The following is a 21506-nucleotide window of genomic DNA, read 5'->3' on the forward strand; positions in this document are numbered from 1 at the left end:
GGGCCCCCGCCGCCCCGAGCCGTGGCCGGGAAGGGGAACACAGTCCATGCGTGCGGCGCCCGACAGCCTCTCCCCGCACGCCCGAGCCCCAGTGCAGGCGGCGGCCCGGCCCCTTTGTGCCTGGAGTGTCACGCGCGGGCGCTCCTGCCGCCGCGCCTGGGAGAGGCCTCCGGCACCCCGGGCCCCTTTCCAAGCACAACAGCAGCCCTGCCGCGGCCCCGCGCTGACCCACTTTCCCTCCTGCCTCCTCAGCCCGAGGCCGAGAATCCAGCGGCCGCCGCCAAGCAGGTGCGAGCCGTCGGGCGGGGCGCGCGGGAGGCGGAGAGGATGGGCCCCTGAACCACCCCGCGCGCCCCACCTCAGCCTCCCGGGGCGAGCCAGGTTTCCGGGGCGGGGGCCGCGAGGAGGAGGAGGAGGGCAAGGCGGGGGAACGGGAGGGAGAGGACCCGGGGAGGGGGAGGGGGAGGCGGAGGGGAAGGGGGAGGCGGAGGGGGAGGGGCAGAAGAAGGGGGCAAGGAGGGCAGAGAGATGAGCGAGAAAGAAAGGAGGGGTGCGGGAAAGGAGGAGAGGAAGGAGCGGTGGGAGGAGGAGGAGGGGTGCGGGAGAGAAGGGCTGAGGGAGAGGCGGAGGGAAACCGCACCCCTGCCTCTTTCCTGGGCCGAGGCCAGCCGGGGAGGAAATGTTGAAATGGGCGAAGTGCACATCCGCCTCCAGGCCTAAGGGGTGTAGGGGTCAGGCCGCACCGACCCCGCCCTTCCCAGCCCTTCCTGCCAGACCTCTGCCTCCGATGGGCGAGCCCGGTTGCTGGGAGGCGGTTCGCTGTGGAGCCTGGACCCTCTCCACAGTTCAGCCCGCCGGAGGCGTGTGCGCTTCCAGATGAGAGCACTTGTTCACTGAATGACCGTGCGTACTTGGGGGGACATCTGGCCCCAGAACCTCCAGGAGCAGGGTGGCTAATGCTGAGTGCCGTGGCCTGGCACTGGGAAGCGCCGGTCCTCAGTCCCTTTCCCTGCTCCTGGGCATCCCAGGCCCCTTGGGGCGTTCTTACACTGCCTGAGTTAGACCTGGAAGAGTCCCCTGTGCCAGGGCAGGGGCTTTGCCTGCTTGGTCCTTGTTCACCCCTGTGTATAGCTACTACCTATTACCTACCCACCTGTCCACAAGTGTCAGTGCCTGATGTAGGAAGTTACAGTAATTCACAAATAAATCTATCACAAAGGGACATGGATACTCACACTTCCTTCTTACCCCTACTTCCAGGCAGCCATTGTTAATGGGTGCGTGTGTACAGTTCTGGGCACATACCAACATGCACGGATGCATGTTAACCTGCTTTGTATGGAAGAAACGGGGTCAGGATATCATAAAAAGAATTAATGGGTAATCAGTATTCATCAAATGCCAAGATCTAGTTCTGAGCACTTTGCAAATATTAATTTAATCACCACGAACCTCAGTAAAGTTTATTACTATTACTCGCATTTTTCAGATGAGGCGCCTAAGGCACAGAGAGGTTAAGTAGCCTGCCCAGGATCACACAGCTACTAAGTACAGAAGTCAGAATTTGAGCCTGACTCCAGAGCTCATAAGGTTAACAACGAGGCCTCCCACTTTTATATGCGTATTATTCCATGAATTACTGTTTACACTAAGAATATGTTCTTTTCTGCAACCAATGGAAGATTCCTAGAAGAGGAACTACTGGCTATGTGGCATTGAGATTTTTCTTTTTTCTTTTTTTTTCTGAGATGGAGTCTAGCTCTGTCGCCCAGGCTGGAGTGCAGTGGCACGATCTCAGCTCACTGCAACCTCCGCCTCCTGGGTTCAAGCGGTTCTCCTGCCTCAGCCTCCCAAATATCTGGGATTACAGGCCTGCCACTATGCCCAGCTGATTTTTGTATTTTAAGTAGAGATAGGGTTTCACTGTGTTGGCCAGGCTGGTCTTGAACTCCTCACATTGTGATCCACCCGCCTCGGCCTCCCAAAGTTCTGGGATTACAAGCGTGAGCCACCGCGCCTGGCCGTGTGTTTGAGATTCCTAGAGACATTAGTAAAACCCTCCAAAAGAGTGGGGACCTTACACCAGCCTGCCGGTTCAAGCTCCATACTGGACCTCCACCTCCCCAACCCCCACCCCCACCCCACCAGAAAAGGACCCTCCATCCCCTTCAGGTCATAGAGTGAGGAAGAGGGAAGCTTCAACAGGCCCAGATGGCCCTGGTAATGGGCACGGTGACATTTGGGCAGAGAACCCCAGGGCCCTGCATCTGCAGACCTGGGACAGGCAGAGAATGTCCAATGGGGGTGCTAGTGGCATTGCCTGGCCATGACTCTGTCCAGCTGTGGCATCATGTCCCATGGCCAAAGTGTCCAAGCAAGCCTGCTTCTGCCATTGACCTAGGGAGGCCTCTTGACACCTGCTCATTTTCCAAGCCTGTTCCTCCTGCATCCTCAAGATTCGGAGTGCCCTCCAAAATAAGATCTTTTTCTGTAGTTGTTACTATGGGTTAAGAACCCTCCTGTCTGATACATACAACTGATTACAAACTTTTAATTTTTGCCAATCTGATAAGCAAAAAAAAAGAAAGTAGTTCATGGATTTAGTTTACATTTCCTTTTTAACAGGGAGGTTGGGTAGAGACTTCTTGGTTTGCTCATGCCTGTAATCCTAGCACTTTGGGAGGCTAAGGTAGGAAGATCGCTTGAACTCAGGAATTCAAGCCAACCTGGGCAACATAGCAAGACCTCACCTCCACTAAAGGGAAAAAACAATCCATGTTCCTTTTCTTCCAACCCAACAGATCTGTGGCTGGGCAGCAGCTGCTGAGCTCAACTACAATTCCAGCCTGCTTTACAGTTAGGCTTGTCCACAGGACCAAGTTCTCAGTGACAGAGTAAGAGCAGGCCTGTGATAGGAGCCTCTTCTGTACCTCGGCCTCCAAGCTGCCTAGAATCTGGCTGTGGCAGTGCCCAAGGGGAGGCGAGCAGCAGGAGAGAAGGGTCCTGGGGTTTGGGGGGACCAGGAGGAGCAGAGCTGCTGCTCAGCTCAGATCCATAACCTGAGAAAGAAAGAGGGATGGCACATTTTATGTGTTAACTTAAATATCTGGCTACATCGCTCAGATATTTGATTAGACACTATTCTAGATGTTTTTATGAAGGTATTGATTAATTGATTGATTGATTGAGACAGTCTCACTCTGTTGCCCAGGCTGGAGTGCGGTGGCACAATCTTGGCTCACTGCAACCTCCACCTCCCAGGTTCAAGTGATTCTCGTGCCTCAGCCTCCCAAGTAGCTGGGATTACAGGCATGTGCCACCATGCCTGGCTAATTTTTGTATTTTTAGTAGAGATGGGGTTTCACCATGTTGGCCAGGCTGGTCTCCTGACCTGAAGTGATCTGCCCACCTTGGCTTCCCAAAGTGCTGGGATTACAGGCCTGAGCTACCACAACCGGTGAAAGTACTTTTTAAGATAAGATTAGCATTTAAATCAGAAGATTTTGAGTAAAGCAGATTATTCTCCACAATGTGGGCAGATCTCATCCCATCAGTTGAAGACCTTAAGAGAAAAGAGACTGACCTGCTCTGAGCAAGGAGGAATTCTGCTGGCCAACTGCTTGTGAACTCCAACTTGTAATATCGGTCTCCAGCCTACCGGCTTACTCTGCAGATTTTGGATTTGCCAAGCCTCCACAACCGCAGAAGCCAATTCCTTAAAATGAATCCCTTACAACAGTTCCCTAAAATAAATTCTTCAAAATTCCTTAAAATAAATGTGTGTGCATGTGTGTCTGTGTATATATATAGCCTATGTAATGTCTAATATAGATCTATAATATATATTAGATAAATATACACATACTTATCATATATATATGTGTGTGTGTGTGTGTGTTTCTCCTATTGGTTCTGTTCTCTGGAGAACCTAATACAGAAACAAATCTGTTTATTCTTCTAGCCTCTGTATCATCAGGCCTCTTTGTTAGAGCAGGTGAGCTTTACCCTAACTAATTCAGAGGTTGATTCGTTTTCATGCATGTAGATACTTGTCATTTAGCTTCTATTATCTGCCTGTATTTTAAGGTTCTTTGTCTTAAAATGTTATGACTCCAGGAATGTTATATATTAAGTATATTAACCTTTTGACTATTATATATCTTGCAAACATCTTGTAATCAGTCACTTGTCTCTTTATTTTATTTGGAGCGGCTTTCAACCTAGAGCAGTGGTCCCCAAACCCGGGGCTGCAGACTATTCCCTGTCTGTGGTTTGTTAAGAACCAGGCTACATAGCAGAAGATGAGTAGCAGGCGCGGGAGCATGACCACCTGAGCTCCGCCTCCTGTCAGACCAGCAGCGACATTAGATTCTCATAGGAGCACAAACCCTACTGTGAACTGTGCGTATGAGGGATCTAGGTTGCACATTCCTTAAAAGACTCTTAATGCCTGATGATCTGAGGTGGAACAGGTTCACCCTGAAACCATCCCCCGCTCAGCCTGTGTCTGTGGAAAAATTGTCTTCCATGAAACTGGTCCCTGGTGCCAAAAAGGCTGGGGACTGCTGACCTACAAGATATATTAGTTATGACTCTTGGTGCATACTCTTGACAGAAATCCCACTCAACCTAGTATAATGCAGAGGACAGTTCACGGAGCAACTCAAATAATTGCCACTTTTACAATATTGAAGCTTCCTACGGGAAACATAATACATCTCTCAATTTATGTCCTTTAATACGATTAAACATTTTTCTTCATGTAGGTTCTCCAGAATTTTGGTTATGCCTATGCCTAGATTATTTATGATTGTTGTTGGTATTGCAAATGTCCTCTCCTATTGATTATTTAATGGTATCTATGGAAAGTATTGATTTTTGTGTATTTGCTCTGTGCCCACTTGCCATCTAACTGGTTGTTATATTTTATTGAACCTTTCAAAGGATATGAATTATGCTGATTTTAATGTCTTCTTCTGATTCCTGCATTATTATCCTGTTTTCTCCAGCGTTCTGTCTACTTCTTCTGCAGGCTGTTGGTTTCCTTCAAATGTCTGGGGATTTTTGATTGTCTGATCCCATTTGTAAATGAACGTCCAGAGAGTGGTTTTCAAAGTGAGATCCATGGACCCCTAAGGGTTCTTAAGACTCTTTCTGGGTGTCTGCAAAGCCAAAACTATTTAATAGGAATAAAAAAGACTTGTTTTTCCTAATGGGTGTTCAGGTGCTCACTTCAGCAGCACATATACAAATGGGTGTTCAGTGGAGTTTTCCAGAGTCTACATGATGTGTGTTATCACTATAGCTTGAAAGAAGGAGGTATGAAAATCCAGCTGTTGGCTGGGCATGGCGGCTCCTGCCTGTAATCTCAACACTTTGGGAGGCTGAGGCAGACAGACCACTTGAGGTCAGGAGTTTGAGACCAGCCTGGCCAACATGGTGAAACGCCATCTCTACTAAAAATACAAAAAAAAAAAAAAAAAAAGCTAGGCGTGGTGGTGCATTCCTGTAATCCCAGCTACTTGGGAGGCCGAGGCAGGAGGATTGCTTGAACTGGGAGGCAGAGGTTGCAGTGAGCCAAGATTGTGCCACTGCATTGCAGCCTGGGTGTCAGAGTGAGACTCTGTCTCAATAAATAAATTTAAAAAATTAAATACATATGAATACATAAAAATTAAATGCATAAATACATAAAAATAAAAAAATACAACAACAAAAAAGAAAATCCAGCTATTAAGCCAGACATTGGGGAGTTTTTTTGTTTTGTTTGTTTTGTTTTGAGACAGAGTTTCACTCTTGTTGCCCGGGCTGCAATGCAGTGGCACCATCTCAACTCACTGCAACCTCTGCCTCCCGGGTTCAAGCGGTTCTCCTGTCTCAGCCTCCTGAGTAGCTGGGATTACAGCCACGCACCACCACACCTGGCTAATTTTTTGTATTTTTGGTAAAGATGGGGTTTCACCATGTTGGTCAGGCTGGTCTCAAACTCCCGACCTCAGGTGACTCGCCCGCCTCGGCCTCCCAAAGTGCTGGGATTACAGGCGTGAGCCACCACACCCAGCATGTATAAGTGTTATTTATGTTAACATGCCATTATTATTTTAAGATAAATGAATATTTATTTATTTTTCACTTGAACTTCTACTACCGTAAATATTGATAGATAAACTCATATGAATGAAAGCCCGCTGAGACCCTCAGCCATTTCTAAGAGAGGGTGAAGGGTTCCTGAATGCAGTGTGTTTGCGATCTGTCAGTCTCAACCAATCATTCTTGCTGTGCAGAGTAGTTCTTGCACACAACTAAACCACCACTGTCTGGCAACCCTGGCACCACTGGGCACCTGTGGTCATGGAGACAGGCCAGGACGTTGCAAAGGCAGAGTGCCTTCCTGGGCCTCTCATCTGGGCCGCTCTCCCTGTCAGTGTGGCTGACAGTGCCTGGCAGTCACCTGGGCGGGCCCCTGCTTCTCTCTTTGGGCCAGTGTTGGCTCTGGAGGCTCCCGGTGCATCTTTGTCTTCAGTCTGAATGCTGCACTCAGACTTTACCCTGGGGACAGGCAGGACACTGCCTCAGCCACCTGGGTAGCCGTTTGTGTGATTACCGTATCCAAGCTCCATGACTCATTCCTTCTCCACTGCCCCCACCCTACCCCATTTCCAGACTTGAAATGGTCTCCCACCTGCAGGCCATTGGCTCTATTGCGTTTCACCACGAATCTGATCTCCTCCGCTTTATATCTTCCAGAAATTCTCCAATGTTCTAGTCTGTTGGTGGCATTTTTCCTGGTTTTCAAGGATTTCTAAGTGTTTTTATATTTATCCTACTACATCAGAGGGTGGGGGAGATAGGTAGGAGAGGTGCAGTTGAGCCTTGAACAATGTGAGGGTTGGAGAGCCAACCCCTCACGCAGTCAGAGCTTGTATAACTTCAGGCTCCCTCCAAACTTAACTAATAAATAGCCTACTGTTAACTGGAAGCCTTACTGGTAACATTAAAAAATCAGTTAACACGTACTTTGTATGTGTATTTATACTGTATTCTTACAATAAACTAAGCTTGGGAAAATAAAATGTCATTAAGAATATCATAAGAGAAAGCATTTACTAAGTGGAAGTGGATTATCATAGAAGTCTTCATCCTCGTTGTCTTCATGTTGAGTGGCTGAGGAGGAGGGGCTGGTCTTGCTGCCTCAGGGTGGCAGAGAGGAAGACATGGAGGAAGTGGGAAGGGAGGCAGGAGAGGCAGGGACACTTGGTATAACTCTGATTGAAAAACATCCCTGTGGGTGGACCTGCACAGTTTGAACCTGCGTTGTTCAAGGGTCCACTGTGCTTGAAAGTGTTTAGTCAGCAGTCCTGAACGACATGTAAACAATGGTTGAATGAAGGAGCAAGGGAGCCTAAGGGTGGGGAGAGGCGGGTGTCGGCAAGGACCTTCCTCCAAGACAGGGTTGCTGCGAGGGGCAAATGGTGACTGATGATTCACAAGAAGGCGTACCTGTGTGACAGCACCTGTAAGCCAGGTGGGATCAGTGCGGCCTGTCGTCTGCTGTTGTCATGTGGAGCTCAGCAAACGGTGGGAGTCCTAGGGGACAACATACACAGCTTAGCAGCAGGTGCCCCTCTCTTCGAGCCTAATTTAGCCAATGGGAGTTTAATTTAGCCACGGGGGCGTAATTGCTAGAAGAAAAGAGAAGAAAAAAAACCTGATGCCCTCACCGCCTTCCAATCCTGACTCTTTAGGAAAAGCCTGGATCTCCGACATCTCCAGAGCGCCTGACCAAGCGTGAGAAGGCGGGATGTAGCCGGGGTGTGTGTGTCGGGGGGTGGCAGGATGCTCCCCAGAGGCGGAGAGCGGCGCGTGGGGGGTGCTGCAGGCGTCCTGGGAGTTTGGGGGCGCCGCCCTTCCTCCTGCCTTGGGCCCAACCGGTGGATCCTGTCGAGTCTGTTGTGGTCCCCTTCTTAGGAAAAGCACAGAGAGCCCTTTAAAGATGTTGACCTGACAGCAGCAGGGGGCCCAGGGTGACCACGGAGCAAATCAGGGAAAGGAAACTTAGGTCGCCACACATTTGATTTAAAAGAAAATAACTTCCCTCCTGAAGCAGGGGCTGGGGTAGGTGCCCTGGCACAGGCACAGAACCAGAGAGAACCCTTGCCGCTGCTCCGGAATGTCGGGCCACACCCTCCGGATACGGGAAAGGCTTTCTTCTCCATTTCAAATGACCCTGTTTCGCCTTTTTTAGATACAAATGTTTATTTGGTCTGACTTTGAAATACCTCGGAGCAGCTGAAATAATTGAAGGCAGCCCTGTAAGAAGCAGCACTTCCAGACCTTCTCACGGGCAAACCCTCTGCTGGGACCGCCAAGGGCCCCCGCGAGACACCTGAGGGTCAGCACAGCCCCTCCCTCCCTGTGCCGTGCTGGCCGTGCCGCAGCTGGTCACCCGCACGAGGACCTCGAGATTGCCCTGCGGACTGGCACTTCTCGAGGGAAGTCATCGCAGCTGCCATGGAGCCAGCATTTGTCGGGGACCTGGCACGCAGGCCACCGGCTCTGGGAGAGGGCTGAGGAGCCGTGGGGCTCACGTTTCAGGGATTAGCTTGTGTAACTTGACTTGTTCCCCCAAATTCTACAAGTACAGAGAATATGCAGAAATCTGTGAGAGAAACAACCTTCTGCAGCTCGTTGTTGTGGGGATTATATTAGTAAGATGCCTAGAAAATACGATTCAGAAGGAATGTGGGTGCGTGTGACTTGGTGGTGGGTGGGCTCCACTCACCACCCTCCCTCCGCACCTGTCCGAGGCATTTGAACCAGAGCAACTCCATTTCGAATAGGGGCCGGTAAAATAAGGCTAAGACCTACTGGGCTGCATTCCCAGATGGTTAAGGCATTCTAAGTCACAGGATGAGATACGAGGTCGGCACAAGATACAGGTCATAAAGACCTTGCTGATGAAACAGGCTGCAGTAAATAAGCTGGCTAAAACCCAAAATGGCAACAAGATGTGTCCTCTGGTGGTCCTCACTGCTACACTCCCACCAGCACCATGACAGTTTACAAATGCCATGGCAACATCAGGAAGTTACCCTATATGGTCTGAAAAGAGGAAGCATGAATAATCCACCTCCTGTTTAGCATATCATCAAGAAATAACCATAAAAATGGGCAACCCACAGCCCTTGGGGCTGCTCTGTCTATGGAGTAGCCGTTCTTTTACCCCTTTACTTTCCTAATAAACTTACTTTCACTTTATTCTGTGGACTCGCCCTGAATTCTTTCTTGCCTAAAATCCAAGAACCATCTCTTGGGGTCTGGATCGGGACCACTTTCCTCTAACACACCCACTGAGAAGTGCTTGCTGATGTTAGGGTTCACAGTGTCAGGGGCTGCCGTAGTGTCACCCCATTCTACAGATGAGAAAACAGCCTCAGAGTTTTTTGTTGTTGTTGTTTGAGATGGAGTCTCACTCTTTCCCCCAGGCTGGAGTGCAGTGGCGTGATCTTGGTTCACTGTAACCTCCGCTTTCTGGTTTCAAGCGATTCTCCTGCCTCAGCCTCCCGGAGTAGCTGGGATTACAGGTGCCCGCCACGCCCGGCTAATTTTTGTATTTTTGGTAGAGACGGGGTTTTACCCTGTTGGCTAGGTGCCTCTCAAACTCCTGACCTCGTGATCCGTGGGCCTCTGCCTCCCAAACTGCTGGGATTACAGGCATGAGCATCAGAGTTTTTAAGTCAGAACTGGAGCCTGAGCCCGACAGGTGACACAACCCGGCCTTCCCTGAGGGGCTGGCACGCCGCAAAAGGTCGCCAAGCTCTCCCTCTTCCGGTGTGAGGTGCAGCTCGCCGGTGGGTATGCACAGGGAGTCCTCTATTTTGCTCGGTTTTGCCTGGGACCATGTGCTCTGTGTACTGCATCATGGTCTCCACAGTGGATCTCGGTAGGCACAGCTGGACTTGGTCCTCAGTTGCCTGCTGTGCCCTGCTGGGGATCTTTTTGCACGGGCCATTCCCCCTCGCACTTGCCTTCCCTCCCCCGCTCCTGGCTGGCTCCCACTCTTGGCCGGGGCTCAGGCAGGATTCTCTACTAGACTCAGCAAAGCACCTGCAGTGGGCCTGTAATAGGAGGGAGTGGTGGGTCCGGAGTTGGTTCCTTCCAGTGGGATTGTGGTCTTGCTGATTTTGAGAATGGAGCCCCAGACCTTCCTGGTGTTACAGCTCTCAAAGAAGACAAGGACCCAAAGGGTGAGCAGCAGTAAGAGCTATTGTGAAGAGCAAAAGAACAAAGCTTCCCCACCACGGAAGAGGACCCCAGCAGGTTGCCTCTGCTGGCTCCGTGTGGAGAAGGGTTGGGGGGGAGGCAGCTTTTATTCTCTTATTTGTCCCCGCCCATGTCCTGTTCCTGTCCTATCAGAATGCCCTTTTCTCAATCCTCCCTGCGATTGGTTACTTTTAGAATCCTGCTGATTGGTCCATTTCACAGAGCGCTGATTGGTGTGTTTTACAAATCTCTTGCTAGCTACAGAGCACTGATCGGTGAGTTTTTACACAGCACTGATTGGTGCATTTTACAATCCCTTGCTAGCTACAGAGCACTGATTGGTGCGTTTTACAATCCTAGCTACGGAGTGCTGATTGGTTCGTTTTACAATCCTCTTGTAAGACAGAAAAGTTCTCCAACTTCCCAGTGGACCCAGGAAGTCCCGCTGGCTTCACCTTTCAGTGGGGCTGTGTTTAGGAGACAATTCCACTCAGGCATAGTGGCCTGATCATGGGGTGCAAAGCTGGCGGCCAGACAGCCTTCCAGGTGGTGACTTTTACTATACTGGGGATGTGGCTTTATGGAGCTATGCTGGCCCACTCCCTCCAGAAGGAGCCTGATGGATCAAAGATGGAAACCAAAAAAATACCGGAAGAAAATGATTAAAAACAAAAAACGAACAAAACAAAACTGTTGGCCAGTTGCGGTGGCTTAAGCCTGTAATCCCAGCACTTTGGGAGGCCAAGGCAGTCAGATCATTTGAGGTCAGAAGTTTGAGATCACCCCAACAAACATGATGAAATTCTGACTCTACTAAAAACACAAAAGTCAGCTGGGCATGGTGGCGTGCTTGTAGTCCCAGCTACTCAGGAGGCTGAGGCAGGAGGATCACTTGAACCCAGAAGGTGGAGGCTGCAGTGAGCCAAGATTGTGCCACTGCAGTCCAGCCTGGGTGACAGAACAAGACTCTGTCTCAAACACACACACACACACACACACACACACACACACACACACACACACCCCTGTAATCTTGCAAAGGGGTGAACTCTTTAATGATCTTGCAAAACCCTGTGGCCATAAACAACATAATTGATTTATTCTACCCGATAAGAAAAAAAATATATCTGCATGGCAGAAAACATCCTGCTTAAAGTTAAAAAAAAAAAAGATAAACAGAAAAAAATTATGGCACATTTGTAAGATGGAATTTACCCTGCAGTCATGAAAAAGAATAAGGTATACTTATGTCTATGTGAAAACAGAATCATATGCATAATAATATATGCAACTTATGTCACAGGCAAAGGGCCACTAAAAATCAAAGAGAAAGAAATCCAACAACTGAATTGGAAAATGGGCAATGGGAAGAAATCCTTCCCAGAAAAGAAAAATGCCTCTAAACATTCAAAAATATGCTGACTGTCATCACAATAACAGAAACGCAAACTGAAATATCAATGAAATCCTACTTTCTGCTATCAGATCAGCAAGTTCCAAACTTTGACAATCGCCTTTCAAGTGAGCTGAAGGAACATGCTCCATGGGGGAATGTAGTCACATTTACCAGAACTACACACATATGTGCTCTGGCCCAGCAAGCCCACTTCAGAGTCTTGTCAAGACATGTAATACAGAGGCTCATCAAAGCATTGTAGTGATTGGAAAAGGATAGGAACAACTTAAGCACTATCAAGATTAATTACATCACATCCCTAGGTCTGCATTACCATGCAGTCATTAAAAAAGAGGGAGGTGGCCATGTGTGGTGGCTCTCAAGGTGTAATCCCAGCACTTTGGGAGGCTGAGGCAGATGGATCACTTGAAGTCAGGAGTTCGAGACCAGCCTGACCAACATGGTGAAACCCCATCTGTGCTAAAAATACAAAAACTAGCCAGGTGTGGTGGCGGGCACCTGTAATCCTGGCTACTTGGGAGGCTGAGGCAGGAGAATCACTTGAACCCGGAAGGCGGAGTTTATAGTGAGCCAACATCACGCCCCTGCACTCCAGCCTGGATAACTCCGAGTGAAACTTCAGAGTGAAACTCCGTCTAAAAAAAAAAAAAAAAAAAAAGAAGGAGGTATATTTAGGTCTATGAAACACAGCAATCTTCAGAGTATATTGTTTCATGAAAAAGAGGAAGCTAGAGGGTATGTGTATAGATTTATCTCATTTGTTCGAATGAGTGTATGTGTGTGTGCACACAGAAACTCCTGGTAGGATGCATAAAATATGGACGTTAGTGTGTTTTCTCTGGTGCTATGAACTGAATGTTTGTGTACTCCTCCCCCCAAATTCATATGTAGAAATTTTCGGCCCCAGTGCGATGGCATTAGGAGGTGGAACCCTTGGGAGTTTAGGTCAAGAGGATGGAGACCCCAAGCTCTCTTCCTCTTTCCCTGCCACGTGGCCATCTGCAACCTGAAGAGAGCCCTCCCCATGACCTGACCATACTGGCACCTTGATATGGGACTTCCAGCCTCCTGAACTATGAGAAATAAATGCCTGCTATTTATAAGCCACCCAGTCTATAGTCCTTTGTCATAGCAGCCTGAGCTGACTGAGACCGTCAGGTAAGTGGCCTGGGGTCTGGGGTGGTAGCATTCCTATTGTCTCCTTTATTCTGTTGGAATGTTTGACTCCAAGCATAAAGGACATTTTTAGTTCTTTTGTTTTTTTGGGTTTTTTTTTGAGAGGGAGTCTCACTCTGTCACCCACGCTAGGGTGCAATGGTACAATCTCCACTGCAACCTCTGCCTCCTGGGTTCAAGCAATTTTCCTGCCTCAGCCTCCCGAGTAGCCAGGATTACAGGCGCCTGCCACCATGCTCAGCTAATTTTTGAATTTTTTGTAGAGATGGGGTTTCACCAAGTTGGCCAGGCTGGTTTTGAACTCCTGACCTCAGGTGATCCACCCACCTTGGCGTCACAAAGTGCTGGGATTACAGGCGTGAGCCACCATGCCCGGCCATTTTAAGTTTTTTAAAACACTCAAAGCCATGCCTTGGGGAGGCTGCAGTCTGGCTCTGTCCCACCCTTGCCTGCTGCTGGTTGGAAGTGGGACCAGCCCAGCTGCTCCTTGGGTCAGGGTCTACAAGGCCAGCCCTGGAAAGGCAGATCCACAACACAGCCAGTGCAGCACCAGGAAGGGTGCCCTGGGCTGAAGTCTGCATGGGGCAGCAGAGGCAGAGCCTGCCAGACCTGCAGACATTTCTGCAGTTGATTATGTTCTTACTTGTCCCTAAGATGAGCACTTACCTAGGCATAGCTGATGCCCTCTGGTGGGGCCGGGGGGGGGGTGGTGTCCCAAATCTGATGGTGGAGCAGCAGGGGATCCCCTGTGGGTAGAGACCAACAGGCAGGCTCTGTGCCGTGGGCTGGCTGGTGTACCCAGGAGACCTCAGCTCACACCCTCCTGGGAAGGACTGCCGGCCACTTCATAGGTGGAGCACAGAGGTGCTGGCTCCACCCCCTGTGTGTGCGTGGCACTCTGTAGTCACCAGCCTGGCTGTCTGCCTCCTTGTTCCAGGCATGGTCTCAATGGCCTCAGACCCTCCCTCCTGAGCCTGATTAAGAAGCAAAGCACCCTGCAGTAGGGGACACTCTTCTTAGGAGGAGGCGGCAATTCTCACTAATAAGTGCTTTTCTTCTACCACATCATGTACATTAAGTGGTTTTTTTTTTTTGTTTTGCTTTTTTGTTTTTTTGTTTTGTTTTTGTTTTTGTTTTTTTGGATACAGAGTCTTGCTCTGTTGCCCAGGCTGGAGTGCAGCGGTGCAATCTTTGCTCACTGGACCCTCCGTCTCCCGGGTTCAAGCGATTCTCCTGCCTCAGCCTCCTGAGTAGCTGGAACTACAGGTGTGCGCCACCACACCCAGCTAATTTTTGTATATTTAGTAGAGACAGGCAGGGTTTCACCATGTTGGCCAGGCTGGTCTCGAACTCCTGACCTCAAGTGATCTGCCTGCCTCGCCCTCCTAAGTGTATATTTTTCTTTTCTTTTTTTTTTTTTTGAGACGGAGTCTCGCTCTGTCACTAGGCTGGAGTGCAGTGGTGCCATCTCAGCTCACTGCAACCTCTGCCTCCCGGGTTCAAGCGATTCTCCTTTCTCAGCCTCATGAGTAGCTGGGATTACACACGTGCGCCACCAAACCCAGCTAATTTTTGTATTTTTAGTAGAGACGGGGTTTCACCATGTTGCCCAGGATGGTCTAGATCTCTTGACCTTGTGATCCACCCACCTCGGCCTCCCAAAGTGCTGGGATTACAGGCATGAGCCACCGCGCCTGGCCGTGTATATTTTTCTAAATAGACACCTGACCATGCTTAGGTCATCCATCGAAATTCCCTAGCACTTGCTGGCTTCCCTGAATTCAACTGAATTGCGCGTGCCCACTGCTGCTGCATAACCTATGGCGGGCACAGCCATGGGATAAAGTGGGCAGTGTGCACACATTCCCCGCACAGTCTGTGGCCTGGCCAAGCCCCTGGGCATTCGAGGCTCCCGGCAAGGCTTCGTGTCCCGACAGTTTTGGGTAGGGGCACGAGGTGGGTGAGCCCGGATCCCAGCAGCAGGCATGGCTCCCTGGGTTTTCATGTCATCTGTGCCCCCTTCTACCAGGATCCTGCAGCAGCTGAAGGGAGACCCCTCTCCTTTTAAGGGTTAAACCCCCAGTGGCACAGAGCAACTTACCTGCCCTTGCATGGTGAACACTCCCATCTTTATCACATCAGTAATTCTTGCTAAAAGCAGATGTAATTTTGAAGGTGGGTAAAAGTAACTTGAAAAGTTGGTGGGCAGATGGCAGAGAGCCTGCTCATCCTTCTTTCAAACTGTCATCAGCTGCACAGGTCTCAGCTGCCATCTCATACTATTATTATTGCTATTTTGCATGTGTGCACACCTCTTTCTGTGGGTGTGGAGGGAGGGGACTGAGCAAAGCCTCAGGGAGGCCACATACGTTCTCAGCGCCATGCTTGGCTGGTGACTGGTCATGCACCATTGGCAGGGCCTGGAGCACGTGCAAGGAACAGAGTTCCCGGCTCTGCACACTCAACATGTGTGTTTCATACTGTCACCTGGCTGGCTCCTCTTTCTGGGTCTGTGTGAGCAGAACAGAACACACACTGGGGACAGAGCTTGCCCGAGGGGCTGCCCAGGTTATTTCCATCTTGGTGATGATGACACCACCCTGAGCTCATTTCTTCTTCACAGCAATCCCAGGAGATGGGAACCACTGTTATCCCCATTTTCTTGATAGGTAGACTGAGATGTGAGTGAGGGGAACAGATGGGACAAAGCTAGGACCCAAGGACAGGTGAAGGCAAGGAGGGACGATGCTGCTAATAATCAAGGCCATTCATTTGGTCCCACCCAGAAGCCTGGGCAAGTGGAGACAGCTGGCACTACAGAGGCCATGGGGCAGGGGCAGTGGAGGCCAAACCAGGGGGCTTGATCAGCACTCTGTCTGGGAAGCCATTGAGATCCCAGGTTCCTTCCACAGCATGCCTCAGACAAGCCTGGAAGTTTGTTCTTTGGGGAAATTGTAGAAAGGAGGCTCTAGGCTCAGGGGCTGAAGGACAGCAGAAGGCAGGGGTGGGGTTCTGGACTAAAAAGGGGTCGAGGTATAAGAAGAAAGACTTCACCTACACTGAGGAGATCCCCAAGACCCCCTCCCGACTCTACTCCCAGGAAGTTGGCAGCATGACCTACAAGTACCAGGCAGGACATATGTTCCTAGAGAGGAGACCTAAACATGTTTGCAGGTAAGGGTTGCCCAACAAAGAATCTGCTATAGCCACCAGTCTATAACCATCCCCTGCCAGCAAGAAGTCTTCAGTGAGCTCTTCAGGGCTGTGCCCTTGGAGATGAACCAACTGCCCACGGTCACTGAACACAGGAGTGAAGCAGCCAACATGGAGCACAACCAGCAACACATAGGGAAGAGGCACTCAGAGGAAGCAGAGGGAAGGGGCAGAGCAAAGCTCAACATGAAGCCCCTGTCAGTCACATTCTTGGGAGCTGATAGAGGAGATTGCATCCAGGAAACAAGAATGGCATTCTAGGCTGGGTGTGGTGGCTCACACCTGTAATCCCAACACTTTGGGAGGCTGAGGCGGGCAGATCACCAGAGGTCAGGAGTTCGAGACCAGCCTGGCCAACATGGTGAAACCCTGTCTCTACTTAAAATACAAAAATTAGCTGGGCATGGTGGCGCATGCCTGTAGTCCAGCTACTCGGGAGGCTGAGACAGGAGAATCACTTGAACCCAGGAGGTGGAGGTTGCAGTGAGCTGAGATCACGCCACTGCACTCCAAACTGGGCAACAGAGCAAGACCACAGACACACACACACAAAAAAAAGATTGGCATTCTAGGAGAAAGGGATCATCAAAGCACAAGAAAGAGGACATTTAATAAATAAGATAGAAGGTGGAGTCAAGAAAATTGCTAGAAAAAAGACAAAAAGATTGACAATAAGACACCAAAGACAACTAGCATGTCAATCAGATGATTTGGGGTTCCACTAATTAGAGTTACAAAAGGTGAGACCAGATACAAGGGGGAGACATTTTCAAATAAATAATACAAGAAAATTACCAAGTGAAGGATGGGAGCCTCTGAACGGAAAGAGCCTGTTAAGGACCACCATTTTAGAATTCTACACCAAGGCATGTCACCATACAATCTGAAAGCATTCAGGATGAAGAGAAAGCCTCGCAAGCTGGAGGTTGCAGGGGAGAAGAACAATACACACAAAGATTTAAGGATGAAATGTCATTAGACTTCACGATGGCAGCACTGGAAGACAGGTGACAATAGAATAATGCCTTTGAAACTTTGATGGAAAATCATTTTCCACCTAAATTTCTATATCTTTCCAAATTATTTTTCAAGTATAAAATAGTATAACTGCATTTCTAGGCATACAACATCTTTAAAACCTTTGCCTTCTGTGTATCCTTCCTCAGGAGATAGTGGAGGATGCGTCCCACCCAAACAATCAAGTAAACCAAGAGACAGGAGGACCTGGGGTGCAGGAAGCAGGACCTAGCCCAACGGGGAGACCAAGAGAGACCCCAAGGTGGCAGTTTGTAGCAACAGAACAGGAAGTCAGAGGGCCCTGGGAAGAAGGCCTCCAGGGAAGGCGGAACTGCCAGCCTATGGGATGTGTTAGAGTTTGAAGCAGTTGTTGATAGGTGTTTGGCAGAAATATGGAAGTATTTGGGGGAGAGTTAGCCTTAAGGACATTGACAACTAAGTGAATGATAGAAGGAAGCATTTTCCTCTGGGGCAGGCGGCAGGAGTGGATAATGAGAAAGGAACAAGTTCATTGCACACTATTGGGCTCTGCAATTAACACAATTTGATAGTCCTAGTAATGTAAACACTGATTATTAACCCAAAATTATGATCTAAAGATATATTGGGATGATGGGTGGGGGAGGAAAGTGGGAATACAGTGGAAAGCAAGTGTCGAATCACCACTATTGTGGTAGAAAGTCAGCAAATAATGTCAAGATATAATAAATAAAAATAGCCATATTTCCTTATGTTTTCAGAAGCAGATTTAAAGAAGAAAAGTGGTGGCCTCTGGACTCTGGAATGAGAGCGCCAGGGAGAGAATGCTGCATAATTGTTTGGACTGTATACTACATGTGTGCATCACTTTTCTAAAAATACAAAATTAATGAGGAAAGGAAGAGGCAGCCCTGCCAGTTGCTGGCTGCCATTGTGAGCTCTTTGGAGAATGGGATGCGGGTGCAGGACTGAGGGCAGTCAGCATCAGGGGGACCAGGAGACTCTGGGGAGTTTGAGTCTTTAAGAAATGGAAGACGTTTCCATCCAGTGGGCAACTAGAGGCAGACATCCTGGGTGTGAGAAGCCAGCGGGGCTTTTCTCTCTTCTGCAGGAACTCCTGCCAAGCTGTGGCAGTTGCATTTGTTGGTGGGAAATGGCCCGCAGAAGAATCCAGCCCCCAGTGCTGAGGTGCATGGGAGAGACTGTGGTGGGACTAGGAGAGTGATGGTCTCTAGGCAGCTTGGAGAAAGCAAGGGATAGCATGGCTCCTTTGTGGTGGGATTGGAAGGATGGAGGGGAAAGGAGGCTGGGTGAGGGCCTCTGCCTCTCAGGAAACAAGGCTGAGTCAATGTGGTGGGAGCAAGGTCGAGGTTCCATCTCATGCCAGGAGACAGAGCCATGAGTCCCCCGAGTTCAAGGACCAGGTGAGATCCTGGTTCTCGTGGCCCTTCCCTTTCCTCCGCTGGGGTCTGTGCTGGCCCCTGTCAGTGGCCCTTGCTGAGGAAGGGGCAGAAGGGTGGTCTGCAAGGGAGGGAGGAAGTGGGAACCAGAGAGGTGGGAGGCAGAGAAGGGGCTTGACTGCTGGAGGCAGCTTAGGGGGAGGCTGAGCCCCAGCCCCAATTCAGCAGAGCCAGGAGGCAGAGATGTGGGTGGGTGGTGTATTAGTTTTCTATTGCTGCATAACAAATGGCCCCAGAACTTAACAGCTTAAAACAACACACATGTATATATCACATAGTTTCTGAAGGTCAGAGATTTGGGAGCGGCTTAGCTCATTATTCTGAGTGTCGAGGACACGTGTGAGATTATAGTTGAGCTGTTGACTGGGGCAGTGGTCTCTGAAGACTGGACTGGGGTGGAGGAACTGCTTTTATGCATACTTATGTGACTGTGGGCTGGAGGCCTCTGTTCCTCTCCACATGGGCATCTCCAAATGGCTGCTCAGGAGGTGGCTTTTCCTGGAGCAAGTGATCATACAGAGATAGAAACAGAGAGACAGAGAAACACAGACAGAGAACATAACCAAGAGAGAAGCCATGGTGCCTTTCAGAACCCAGCCTTGAAAGCGGCATGTCATCACTTCTGCTGTATTCTCTGGGTCCTAGATGCAGTGTGGGAGGATTCCACGTGAGGCTGTGAAGGCTGGGAAGCGAGATCACTGGGGGTCATGCTGGGGGTCATCTTGAAGGCTGACTGAGCGCAGCTCATCAACTGGGCACCTACTGTGTGAGAGACTCTGAGCTTCAGGCTGCGGCTGTGATAAGGTCTTGAAGAAACACCTGCTCCCAAGGGACTTAGGCTCTCAGTGGAATTCCAGTTCTTCTGTCTGTATCCCTCACTCCAATCAATCTATATCTATCTATATCTATATCTATATATTACTTTTTAAAATTGTTATCTATTTATTTTATTTTTGAGACAGGGTCTCACTCTGTCACCCGGGCTGGAGTGCGGTGGTGCCATCACAGCTCATTGCACCCTTGACCTCCTGGGCTCAAGTGATCCTCCCACCTTAGCCTCCTAAATAGCTGGGACTACAGGCACGTGCCATCACTTATGGCTAATTTTTGTATTTTTGGTAAAGATGGGGTTTCACCATGTTGCCCAGGCCGGTCTCGAACTCCCAAGATCAAGCAATCGGCCCACTTCGGCCTCTCTAAGTGGGATGAGATTATATGTGTGAGCCACCGCACATGGCCTTCAATTCTAATTTTAAGAATAGAATAGTTGGCTCCTATCTGTTTCCCCTTTTCAGTCTTATCACACTTACATGTTCCTTATTAGTCTCGTGCTATCTCTTTGCTGTAAGTTGGGCATATTTTATTAATTCTGTTCGTCAGATGGGAAAACTGAAGTTACAGAGATAGGCCAAGTATCGGCCAAAGGCTTTCAGTGGTGATGAGCCCAAGGATGGGAGGACCGGGAAGAGAGCTAGAGGCTGCAGGTTCCTTAGACGCCCACCTGCAGTGGTGGCTTTCCCATTCCTTCTTACGTTTCACAGATGTCTCTGTTCTAGGCACTGGGGACATGTCATGAACAAAAAAAACTCCAGCCCCTTCTCTGTGGAGCTTATGGCCCAGGAGCGGGACAGGCGTTGGTCCAAGTATTTCACAGATAAGTACATAATTACAAATGGAAAACACCGATTTGAAAGCAAGTGCAGGATGAAATGAGATTGCACAGAGCCTGACTTGGCTCAGGGCCCGGGAAGCACCTCTGAGGAGGAGGCCTAGAGCCGCGGGTCATTCCCGCCTGACACTCGGATCAGAGAACAAAGAGGCCCCAAACCTTTCAGTTATCTTCAGGCTAATATTAGCATGAGAGACATGTGAATAATTTACTCTTTCTCAACAAATGTGGTTAATACTTAAGGGTAAAAAGGAAAAGATTGAGCCCGAAATTAAAAAATGAAGACAACCTTCAATGATGTATTTCTGCATCAGGCAAGGTGTCTTCTTATGGGAACAGCAGAGTCACCCAGAAACAAGGGTGTAATTATAGCAGTGCCATCTGCGGCACTAAAATAAGAATGATTATCAACACTATCTTTCAGGTTTTTCACTAAGTCAGAACAATTTGCTAAAAATAATCTGTACTGTATCCGCAACGCCCCCAAACAATGTGTGTTTTCCCGTCACCGCGGCTGCCAGCTCCCCACGGGCCGGGCCAGGGGGCCGAGGGGGCTGTTCAGCCCCGCTGGCAACCTTGTCCCCTGTTGGCTGGCTTTCATTGTGAGCATTGTCACTGGAGCAGTGGGAGATGGGTGGAGGGAAAGTTAAGGCTGGATTCCAGCCAGCTCGGGAGGGCCACGCAGACACCAGCTTGATTGAAGAAGGCTGGGTGCATTTCCCAAGAGCCTCCTGGTGGTTTCAGGGCCCATGGCCAGATCATCAGTTCCTGGAATCCCGCTTGGTCCAGAGGGAATGAGTCATACCCCCAACCCCCAGCATAAGGGATGAAAATACAGAAGCCAGATACGAGTTCCCTTGTGCTCCATGCAGAGGTTTCCTTCCAGATTAGAATACTTAGGTCCCCAATCCAGAGCCCCCCTTCCTGAAGTCAGAATTGCCGTGGAGTCTGCAGGGTCACAAAGAGGCGCAGTAAGCATAGGGACTGAGCTCAAAAAGGCGGGTGGAGTGATGATGACATTTCATCCTGGTCATAGGGCCACTGTTGCCTCTATGGAATATTCATGCGATAAAAAAAAAAAAAGAGACCTAACCTAATCTAGTGCAGGGCATGCACTAGATTTCAGAACCTGCTTGCCCCCTGACTCAAAGGAGTCTTTGAGTAGTGTGCAACCTGTACAGCTGTTCATGGCGCCCTGTGGTTGCCATAGTCATGAGAACTCCTGTATGCCCCACAGCACCAAGGGCCTCTTCCCCAAGCAAGAAGAGCCCCTGCCTCAGACTCAGCAACTCTTTTCCCTGAGCAGAGCAGG

General features: G+C 49.5%; 3 long non-coding RNA genes across 4 annotated transcripts, besides 3 other annotated features; 2 read left to right on the top strand and 1 right to left on the bottom strand.

The window, feature by feature from the left end:
* Positions 1-271: 271 nt before the first annotated feature.
* LINC02352 (long intergenic non-protein coding RNA 2352) lies at positions 272-9258 on the top strand. The gene is made up of 2 exons (NR_135834.1): positions 272-288; positions 8246-9258. It is a non-coding gene; the product is annotated as a long intergenic non-protein coding RNA 2352 (long non-coding RNA).
* On the top strand, positions 565-3777 carry LOC124903454 (uncharacterized). Of its 2 annotated transcripts, none has more exons than XR_007064556.1 (2): positions 565-1380; positions 3540-3777. It is a non-coding gene; the product is annotated as an uncharacterized LOC124903454 (long non-coding RNA). The 2 variants fall into 2 exon arrangements; XR_007064557.1 differs by lacking the exon at positions 565-1380 and adding an exon at positions 1949-2894.
* LINC03034 (long intergenic non-protein coding RNA 3034) lies at positions 7018-15113 on the bottom strand. The gene is made up of 4 exons (NR_171016.1): positions 14958-15113; positions 13523-13602; positions 7722-7963; positions 7018-7587 (listed from the first exon to the last, which is right to left on the bottom strand). It is a non-coding gene; the product is annotated as a long intergenic non-protein coding RNA 3034 (long non-coding RNA).
* Positions 9985-10557: an enhancer, noted in NCBI's record as "H3K27ac-H3K4me1 hESC enhancer chr15:31517937-31518509 (GRCh37/hg19 assembly coordinates)". NCBI's record gives its function as "activates a minimal SCP1, AML or CMV promoter by ChIP-STARR-seq in naive H9 embryonic stem cells {active_cell/tissue: H9 hESC(naive)}" and the evidence as "EXISTENCE:reporter gene assay evidence [ECO:0000049][PMID:30033119]".
* Positions 20757-21051: a silencer, noted in NCBI's record as "tiled region #5138; HepG2 Repressive DNase unmatched - State 4:PromP". NCBI's record gives its function as "weakly represses a minimal TATA promoter and a strong SV40 promoter by Sharpr-MPRA in HepG2 cells {active_cell/tissue: HepG2}" and the evidence as "EXISTENCE:reporter gene assay evidence [ECO:0000049][PMID:27701403]".
* Positions 20757-21051: an enhancer, noted in NCBI's record as "tiled region #5138; K562 Activating DNase matched - State 8:EnhW". NCBI's record gives its function as "activates a minimal TATA promoter and a strong SV40 promoter by Sharpr-MPRA in K562 cells {active_cell/tissue: K562}" and the evidence as "EXISTENCE:reporter gene assay evidence [ECO:0000049][PMID:27701403]".

Source organism: Homo sapiens, chromosome 15, assembly GCF_000001405.40.
Source record: "Homo sapiens chromosome 15, GRCh38.p14 Primary Assembly".
Taxonomy (NCBI): Eukaryota; Metazoa; Chordata; class Mammalia; order Primates; family Hominidae; genus Homo; species Homo sapiens.